At 31.8% G+C, this 11319-nt stretch overlaps 1 annotated feature.

Annotated features, from left to right (window-relative positions):
* Positions 370 to 570: a silencer, noted in NCBI's record as "peak3090 fragment used in MPRA reporter construct". NCBI's record gives its function as "represses an SCP1 promoter by STARR-seq MPRAs in K562 erythroleukemia cells {active_cell/tissue: K562}" and the evidence as "EXISTENCE:reporter gene assay evidence [ECO:0000049][PMID:32103011]".

The raw sequence follows: 11319 nt of genomic DNA on the forward strand, positions 1-11319 counted from the left end.
AAAACCATGCCTGGACTACACAGCTGGTCCCAGATTGGCCTAGGCACTAGAGAAGGAAACCTAGAAAATATTATGAAAATCATTTCAAGGACTCCAGTCTCTGTCTTAGCTTCCTGGGACTGCTTTAAAAAAAAAAAAAAAAAAAAAAGGTCCCACAAACTGGCTTAAAACAACAGAAATGTATTCTCTCACATACTTTACATACTTTGAAACTGGAAGTCTGAAATCGAGTTGTCAGTGGAGCTTTGCTTCTTCTGAAGGCTCTAGGGAAGAATCTTTTCTTGCCTCTTCTAGCTTCAAGTAGTTGCCAGATATCCTTGATGTTCCTTGGCATTGCACCAATTTCTGCCTGTGCCTTTACAGGGCCTTCTCTTCTCTGTGTCTCTGCTCCAAATTTCCCTTTTCTTATAAGGGCATCAATCATATTGGATTTAGAGCCCACCCTAATCTGGTATGACTTCATCTTAACTTGGTTACATCTGCATAGACACTATTTACACATAAGGTTTTGTTCTGAGGTTCTGGGTGGACATGAACTTTGAGGGGAAATTATTCAACCGTAGGCAATCCCTGAAGAACAGAGCCCTAGACCTAAAGACAATATATGCGTATAAAACAACAAGTTCCACTAAAGAATTTGGACTATTTCCTTCATAAAATCAGCTTAATATGATCTGACTTGTATTCACTTTGAAATTTGACATCTATTTTGTCTTATTGCTACATTCAAAACTTCAGATTAAATATACCATTATAAGCACATATGTCTAGCCACTAATAAACTTACCATCATGTCTAGAAAACAGTAAGTCTATATAAAATAACTAGGAAGCAAGCATATAAATTATGATCAGTAATATAGTTAAGTAATGCACAAAAATGTTGCAAGAACAACATACATATGAAAATATATGGGTCTCAGCTAGGGATAGTGGATAATGGTTGTACAACCTGTGACTATAATAAAAGTCATTGAATTGTATGCTTTAAAAGTGTGAATTTTATAATATGTGAATTTTATCTCAATAAAGCTGTTTTAAAAATGGTGAAAGAATTGTCAGCCTGAGATGAGGTTAATTGAAGCCCATCCTTTGGAGTAAATCTACTTTAAGATGTTTTCAAGAAATTGAAAAGTGTAAATTAAAAATTGTGAATTATGTTTTAAAATATTTATATCCTAAGATTGTATGTGTGTATGTGATTGCTGTTCATGTTGAAATTACGTTCATATTTAAAATGCTGACTAATTGAGAAACTTAACTATTATTTGATTTTATGCAAATACTGATGTACATCTATATCAATTAGTAAGTGCACAATTTTATTCTTAACTTATGTATATCACAGGCTGAAGGGAGAATTTCTGAATCTTCAAATTATCAAATAAAAGTAATCTAATTCTTCACAGGATGTAGACTGGAACTTCATTTTGCTTCCATCAAAAAAAAAACATATTGCTACCTAGTGGGGGAGAGGTAAAGAAAGTGTAGGGAGGGCACTATTAGTAGGTTGTAATCTTATTTAACATCTCTATTAATCATCTAGTAGAGAAAGACATGCAAGCTAATGAAAATTAAATCACAATAAATTGTCAAGTGTTTTAACACCAATTAGCACAGAAATGATAAAAAGAGAACTTCAGTGATTAAAGGGCAACTACAAAATGAGATTCAACTTGGAAAACATAATACGGGTGGCAAGTAGTCCTTGGGATGAAAAAAAAAATGTGTAACTGTTTTTAAGGTCATCATTCTAAAGATAAGTGAAGGATATGTAATGAAACTCACCAAGTTTCTACTTTTTTCAATGTCGATTTGCATATATATTTTCCTATTTTAACTCAATTTCATTTTAAATTACTAAATATACATCTTTTCTCACTAGCTTAGCTGATGGTATTCATAGGCAAATGATTACTATTAGCAGCTTTTTACCTTTGAATTAATATTTCTCCTGTCATAGAATAAAAATTTGGGAATGGCGGGGAAGGGGAAATGAAGAGGTTAAGGGAAAAAAATAAAAAGAAATTTAAAAGGATAGCCAGTATGGACATTTCATTAACCATCATGTAGAAATTAAAATAAAAAATTATAAATATTTGATGGAATCTTTAGAGTCAGTTTGTCCTAGGGATGGATTAAGGTAAGTTTCTAAACTAGAGTTACCATCTCAGAAAACCAGCTTTCATTAGTTCATTTAACAATTTCTAATGGCTTTTTAAACTATTCAGAGTTGATCTAGATTTTATACTTCTTAATAATAGCTCCAGCTACTAAAAATGGTGATAATTATTCTTTAACATAGGGAAAGAGAGAATAATACATGTAAGTCCAAACAAAGAAAATTTGAGCAAACAGAATCTCACAAATTATGCCTATAATGCAGAAAGAAAGAATATCTGTCTTTTCATGCAGTTACTGTAATGTGATCGTAATCATTAACTTTAGGAATGACTCCAAATCTTAAACTTTACAGAAGTTTATCACATATTTTGTCATAATTATATAAAGAAAAAGAGCTAATTTTAAAACAGAAGTTGAATTTTCATGTCAAAATTTTATATCCACGATTAACAATTTCATTTCCGGCATGTTTCAAATATACAAGCTTCTATATTTCCTATATGTTTCAAATATGACAAGCTTCAAAAATACCTTTTAAAACATACAATGATAAAAATCAAAACATATAGGAAACGTACCATGTAGATAGTTTATATTTGATAGGTATGGAAAGGTAAGCACCTTTGTAAAAGTCACAAAGTCATTATTTCTGCTTCAGAATATAGATACATTTTAGAAACCTTAAAATAATAACATGCTTTTAAAGAAAAAGATTCCCACAATAAAGAATAAATTTCCTTACAGCAATGAATGACAACAGTGCACATATTTTACTAATCTGCACAAAACGTCACTTACTTTAAAAAATGAGAATTATTTCATGAGAACTGAAGCTGTTCCAGCAAAATACTCAAATGGTTGAAAAAAGGCAAACTTATTTTGAACTATCTTATAAAAATCAATTAAATTGCTGGCTTTGATAATTTTCTTTGGAAACATTTTAAATGTAGTGATTGTTCATTACAAAGATGAATATCAGCTGCATTTGGGAATCAATCCATACTGGGCCTTATTTACATCTACTTCTGTATCTCTTGCACATCTTTACTGTGGATGGACCTCACTTTGATGTTGATGCCAGCATGAGAGCAAAGGAAAAATAAAATCAGGATAAACAGAAGTGAATTTTTCCAAGAAAACAGCAGATGGGTCATCTGTATTTATAGACATTTTACCCAAAATGTGCCTAGCTATACAATTAATTTTATAAATTGAAATTATTTTTGAATAATAATTTAACTTTGGATAATTTCTGTTGTGCGCTTCCGGAAGTTTAAAACTTAATCTTCACTTTTTCCCTAACAATGGACCTTAGGCAGAACTATATCTTGACACTAAATTCTCATTTTGTCCCATTATTCTATTTTGACATAGATGCATTCTACTTTATCCATAATAAAATAAAAATATGATCTAGTTTAACCTTTTACTATTTTTTGAAACACAGACATATTTCAACCATTAATAAAGTATGCCTCCTTTTTGGTGCCATGTGCGGTGAGACAATTATATATTAGTGGCCACGCATAGAACAGTCTTTTCTACAAAGCACACTGTGGTATGAATCCAGGGATTTCTCACCTTTATATCTAAAATCAGGGATCTATTTCAAGCTCCAAAAAATATAGAGGATAGCGCTCTCACAATGAAGGTGGAGTACTATTACCATGGAGAATATAAATATTTTAGCCTAAAGACTATTGACATCTTTCTGGAAGAGACTGAAAGCTCTCTTATGGGTCCTGAAAATTTTAGAAAGACTTGTCATTAGAAAAAAACTCTCTACAGTAGGCCAAAACTGTACTTTTGTCAATTTGTGCCCATTCTAATTCAAACAACACTGGAACTCTCAAACAACCGCTGGTAGAGGGGTTACAATTGACAACATTCTTCTCCATGTCTATAAACAGATCATCTTAGTGTACCTATGAGAAGGGCATATGAGTGGTTACAAGCATCCTAATTCTTTCTGAAGGTTATGTTAGGGGACCATTTTCAGGCAATTTCAAAGATTAAGTAACCTAAGTAAAAATTAAGTTGCAAATACATTATGAGGAAAATTATTTTAATATTAGTACATAAATATGTCATAACAGAGTAAATATTTCAAGTTCAAAAGTAATTCTTTTATAACAATAACAGTAATGATTTTTTTATTTATATATGCAAGGCACTGTCCTTAATGCTTTGATTCAGTACTATAAGTAATCCTTACTCCTACTCTATGAGGTACTACTACTAATCTTTACTACAGCTCTATGAGGTATTACTACTAATCCTTACTACTACTCTATGAGGTATTCATTGTTATTTTCAATAAATAAGATGAGAAAAGTGAGTTTACTAATCATATTAGACTAAATTATGCTACAGTATTACATAAGCAAAAAAATGACCCAAATCTTAGAGGACTAAGACAATGAATCCTAATTTCATGCACACAGAAATTGTGCTGTGGGTTTTAAGTGTCTCTTTATGTGTCCACTCAGTGGTCCATTCAGCCAAATTGGCACTGAGAAACAGTCTTGCATGAGTTTATGAACAAATAGAAGATTGGAATACTCATGAACATACTAAACCTAACTTAGAAGGTTATAGTAGAGCCTGCTTCACTCTTTTCCAAACCAAATTCCTTCTCTTTCTGAGCACACAGCTTTATGAAATATCCCAGCTTCTTTTGTGCCCTTGTAACTGAGTTCCAACAACGAAATATGAGTAGCAGTGATCGATTTCATTCCCAGCCCAGTCTTATACAAAATTCCCATGCGTAGTCCCCAGGCGCTTTTCCCTGCTGCCTTCTTGATGAAGATAGGCACAGGGCCCCTGGAAGCTGTATGCTAAAGATAGACCAGACCCCAAATGGAAAGAGTCTGGATCACTGAATCACTTCTTAGAAAGAGGCTGCCACAATGAAGAACATCTACTACACAGGTTGGTGAGTGAGGGATGAATTGTTATCTTATTCCAGTCACTATAAAGATAGCTTGCTAATTTCATGAATTCTAAAACATACATCTTTCTGTTTCAAAATATAACACTTTTGAAGTCAGGATTCATCATGAAATCAATGTTGTCTTAATAGTATTTGCTAGTATTTCTTTCTTCATTATAAAATAATGTGCTATCACAGTCAATAGTGGTGTATTAGATTTGATGAAATATAGCAATCCACTGTGGGTCATCTACACTTACCTAATCACTGAATACATTGGACTGCATTGTGTAAGATAGCTGCTTGGTTCACGGTATTATGCTTTCTTACCAAATTTCATTTCAAAGTGTTTTTTTTTCTTCCCATTCAAAAGTTCACCTGGAAAAACATGCATATTATGGTAGTCATCTTTTTTTTTTTGAAAACGGAGTCTCGCTCTGTCGCCCAGGCTGGAGTGCAGTGGCGCGATGTTCGCTCACTGCAAGCTCCGCCTCCCGGGTTCACGCCATTCTCCTGCCTCAGCCTCCCGAGTGGTAGTCATCTTTTCTAATTCCATTCCAGATCTATTGGTAAAAATTGATTTTAAGTGGGTTTTCTGCTATTTACAAAATCCAAAGTCTGTGATATAAAATGCTAATATTCCACACATTTTTTTTCTTTTTTTTTTCAGAAAGGAAGCTGCTGTTGGCTACACGGGTAATAAGGCTGGTATAAATTAAAATTATATCTTCCACAAATTACAGTTCAAGTACACATAAGAGGTAAAGCCCCCCAAAAGGTAAAGTACAACATAGGGATAAGGATCAACTGGCTATTTGTTAAAGTTGGCTAAGTCTACATTGAGTGGCGGCAGCATGGTTAGAATGGTGAGAGTATGGACTTTGACTCCTATCTCTAGCTTTGTACTAGCTTTGTGAACCTGAGGGTGATATTTAAGCCCACTGAGTGTAGTTTACTCATCTATAAAACTGCAATAATATTTATTTTATAAAATTCTTGAAAGGATGAATACAATATATAAATAATTGGCATCTTGTAAATGTTAGATCCTTCTCCCCATCCTCTTTGACTTAGAGAATTTTCAGTTGAACTTCTACATTTGTCTGATTTATGACAAATAAATGAAAGTGTAAAAAAATTAACTGCGATCTCACATTGCCTATTTTAATGAAAAAGTAAAAGCAAAACTAAACCATTTCCTGTGTGCCTCATTAACACAGTAAAATCTAATTTTCTCTCATTTCTTTCACTTCCTATGGGAAAGACCAAGTGATTTCTGGAACTCATAGTCACATATTACAATCTCTTTATACCTCTACATATTTGTTCTTTGTAAGATAGAACCTAAATTTGAGTCCACTTTCACACCGCATAGGTGACAGAAAGGTGATGGTATATTTTTAGGGGAAATGGCAGAAACACGTACTTGTGAAATTCCCCCAGTTGTTCAAATCTCAAAAAGGAACTGGACATATTCCCACATCCTAACTCCCAAATGTGATGGTATTAGGAGGTGGGACCTTTGGGTATAATTGGGTCATGAAGGCAGGGTCTTCATGAATGGGATTAGTCCTTTTATAAAAGAAACTCTGTAGAGTTCCTTCATTCCTTCCACCGTGTGAGATCATACCCAGAAGATTACTGTCTGTGAACCAGAAAGTGGGCTCTCACCATACACCAAATCTGCTGCCAACTTGATCTTGGCTTTCGCAGCTTGCAGAGCTTGGGTAAGTGAATTTTTGTTGTTTATAAGCCATGCAGTCTATGGTAGTCTGTTATAGCAACCAGAACTGACTAAGATACACACAAAACTAGAAAAGCCACTTTTACAAATAGTTATAATGCTGTTTCCTTATAGCACTAGCAGTTTGCAACCATCTCAGATCCTATAATATATGGGTGCTGAGAAATTCTAAACAGTGAATATTCTTTTTCACAGTATTAGTGGAGGAACAAACAGTCACAGCAAAGTTTTCAACTGCACATCTGAATCTGGAGAAGATGTAGCTGTGTATTGTGTATAATTTAAGAGCAAAGCAATGATTGTAATGAGTTTCTTCTTTTAGAAGGAGTACTGATTTAGAGAACTGTATAAGCAACCTTTTGAATTCTGAATGATATCTGAGGCAAGAAATATTAGAAAAAGATGGAAATAAATTTATTAGATAAAATCTTGGGAGCATAATCATTTGGTCATTGAAAGAAGTGAGATAAACAACAAAAAAATAAGGTTGGTCATCTCATGTTTAAGTAGAGATTTTATTAAAGCACAACATATGTGTACGCAGAGATAGTAACTGTTCAGCTCAAAGAATTTAAACAACTCAACGTACCCGTGTAATCAACAGACAGATTCGGAAATAGAACATTATCATGTATCCTCTATTATTCCCCTCTGAGACACTGTGTCTCCCCCAAAACATCATCCTAACTTCTATCATCACTTAGTTTTGCTAATTTCCAACTTTCTATAATGGAATTACATTGTGCACTCATTTGTTATAGGCTTGTTTTTTTTAAATATTGTATTATGAGATAAACCCATGCTGTTATGCAGTAGTTTCTTCACTTTCATTGCCATGTAATATTTCATTAAATGGATACATAATATCATTATCCATTCTACTACTGATAAGCATTAGGGTTGTTTCTAATGTGGTGTCATTCCAAAAGTATTGCTATGCATATTTTTATATATAACTTGTGGTGAATGCGTCTGAACAATTCTGGGGTGTATACACAGAAATAGATTGCTTAGTCATAATATACGTGCATGCTTAGACTTAGAGGTGTAAGCAACTTTCCAAACTTTCCAAAGTGATTATATCAATCTATATTACCACCAGAAGCATATGAGAATTTTTAATAACAATAGGTGGTATCATTTTTAAAACGTTTATTAAATTTGATAAAAATGTGGCAATATGTTTCATCAGATTTTACTTTGTATTTTTTTCACTATTAATGGTATTGAGTACCTTTACTTATGTTCATTGACTTTTTGAGTAAACTCTTTTGTAAAGCAGCAGCCCAAATCTTTCACCATTTTTTAAACTTAATTGCTTTTTATACTAACTGGTTTGTAGTTCTTATATGTCCTGAATATAAAATTAAATTTGGGACTATATTGAGTTTAGAGATCAATGTAAAAAAATTGATATCTTCACAATAATAAATATTTCAAATTATAATTGTGGTAAAGAGTCTCTTTATTTAGGCGTTTCACATTTTCTCTAATAAAGTTTAGTGGATTCTTATGTAGAGATTTTGTACATCTTTCATCAGATATATTATTGAATATTTCTTGTTTTAAAAATATTGCAAATAATAATTTTGTATTTTCTTTTTGTTGTGTTGTTCTGTATTGCTATTGTATCCAAATACTTTGCTAGATCCACTGATAGATTCTTATAGTTTGTTGCTCTAGTCCTTTATTTTTTATGAACAAAATCATATTATGTGAATGACAATTTTATTGTTTCCTTTTCAATTCTTTTGCCTAACATTTTTCTCTGGTTTTACTGCCCTTAATAGAACCTCCTTCGAAACGTTGAGTAACTACGATGAGAGTAGGCATCTTTGGGTTCTTTGTTGAGTCTTAAAAAAGAAACTTCACAAAATTTCACGAGAAATTTATTTTTATTATTTTTTATAGAATGAGTAGTCAGATTAAGAAAGTTTCTTAAAATTCTAGTATCCTAAGTTTACTTTTAAAAACTTAAATGGTATCACATTTAGCAAATATTTTCTTATATCTACTGAGATGATCATACAATTTTCCCTCACAGTTAATTATGTTGGTTGACTTTTTGACTACTAATCCACAATTTTTGATACAATAAATTTAAACAATTATGATAAATAATTGTATTTTATGTATTGCTATATTCCGTTTACTTGTTTTTTATTTAGGGCTTTTTGCATTTTTTATTTAGGGCTTTTGCAGGTGAGAGATGGGCCTCTGATTTTATTTCTTTCAATGTCCTCAGCATACTTTTGTTTCAAGGTTATGCTGGCCTCATCAAATAAGACAGAAAATATTGTTTTTTTAAATTCATTGATGAACTTTCTTAAAATGTTGGTGATATTGTATCTTAAATGTTTACCTAGTGACCACTAAAATTGTATGTGGCTGGTGATGTTTTCTAAGAAGGTTTTAAAATACTAAATGTAAGTTTTAAAACAGATACAAGATAAGTATGCTTTTCTATTTACTTCCATTTGCATTTTGGCAAATTTATCATTTTTTGCTGTTAATTCTATGTTGTATTTCTTCACTCTTGGTTGAGATCATATACCCTCTCTGTTTCTTTGCTGGTATTTTGTCTGCCTTTTTTTTTTTTTTTAACTGAGAAAGACATGTGAAAAGTTCCCCAATATGTTTGTGATAGTATTAATTTCTTTTATATCTGTCAATTTATACTTTACATGGGATAAACCTATGTTATTATATACCTATGTATATATGTTTAGAATTGATAATCTCCCTGACATAAGGACTATTACCATGTTAAAATAACTTTCTTTGGCTCTGATAATTTTTCTTGCCTAAAGTCTTGCATAGTTACACCAACTTTCTTCTTGTTATTGTTTCTTTTTTTATCGTATGTTTTCCCATTCTTTTATAATATTCATCTATTTGTTGCTGGTGGTAGTGCTTTTAATTTAGGTTTTTTTGTTGTTGTTGTTTTTTGTTTTGTTTTGTTTTGTTTTTTTGAGATGGGGGTCTTCAACGTTGCCTAGGTTGGCCTTGAATTCCTGGGCTCAAGTGATTTTCCCACCTCAAGTTTGTCTTCAAAAAAAAAAATTTAGATTCCTTTCTAAACTCCAGAATGACATTCTTTTATTTGATTATGTATTATCTTTGGAATTATTGAAATTGCTTAAGTATTTGGATTTATGTACATCTATTGCATCACATATTTTCTTCTTCTCTGTTACCTGATGTTCTGCTGTTGGATTAATCAGCTACTTTTAATTATTTATTTCTTCATGAGATTCTTAGTTTTATACTCTTTTACTCTTCTATTAAGAAATTACAACATGAATCTTTTTGACTTAATAAGATTTGATATGAATGAGTATTTTCACTACTAATAAATTACAAATGCTAAAGTGTAAAAATAACGTGGCATCATATATGCCCTCCTACCTTTTGTGCAATTGTTGCCAAGAATTTTATTTATACATATAATTTAAATTACACACATTATTATTGTTTTATATATTAATCCTTTTTATTGTTCTCTGTTTTTCTCTGCCTTTTTATGATTCTGTTCAAAAGCTAAGAATTCAACATAAGTGATAAATCAAAAAAATTGAAATGGAAAGGAAGGAGTATTAAAATCCATTGATTTACTACTACATGTCAGGTAGCTTGCATTGTGTTAATAATAATGAAATTAATCATTCATTTCCCATATGCCATGAGCCACACACTATCCTAAATCCTTCATATGCAATATGCCTTTAAAGCTTCAGAAAAACCTTCTAAACTTTTGGTTAACTTCTTGAGTATATATGAAAATAAGTATAGCTCACCTTTCAGTCAATAAATATATGGTCTATCCTTTTATAGGCTAGACACTGTTTGAAGTACTGGAGATATAGCAAAGAACCAGACAAACAAAATACTAGTAATTCTGGTGGCTACTTTCTAATGTAAATGGACAGGCAATAAAAAGTGAACAAGTTAATTAATATGTGAATGACTATAAGATATGAAAGATGATAAGTGCTATGGGAAAAATTAAGTATGCATTTGGTTTGCTATTTCATATAAGATGGAGAGAAACATCTTCAGTGTAAACTTTATTTGAGGAAATACCTGAAGAAAATACTAGGCTCTAAAAATCAGATGACTCAGAAAAGTTTAAAAATCACATAAAATTTTAAATTAATAAAATATTGTCAGTGTCCCCATTAATAGGCTTGCTCCACATATCCACAGAGGTAATAAATACTAGATGTAGGGAATACATAGAAAAAAATTAGGCCATAAGGAAGGTTTAGCCTTTTTTGGATTAATATTTTGCACACCCATCACTTTTTGTATTTTATTTTATCTGTTCTGCTTTCTTGCCTAATGGCAAGAGAAATTCTTATTTCTCTCTCTTTCTCTCTCTCTGTATCTATATATACACATACAAGATATCCTTCAAATCTTATTGCAGTCCTAAGCTCTTGATAAATAGATGGATAGATGGATATGTAGATACACAGGTGGATAGACAGAGCTCCCCAGCTACTAATTTAAATATATGT

Source organism: Homo sapiens, chromosome 18, assembly GCF_000001405.40.
Source record: "Homo sapiens chromosome 18, GRCh38.p14 Primary Assembly".
NCBI classification, from domain to species: Eukaryota; Metazoa; Chordata; class Mammalia; order Primates; family Hominidae; genus Homo; species Homo sapiens.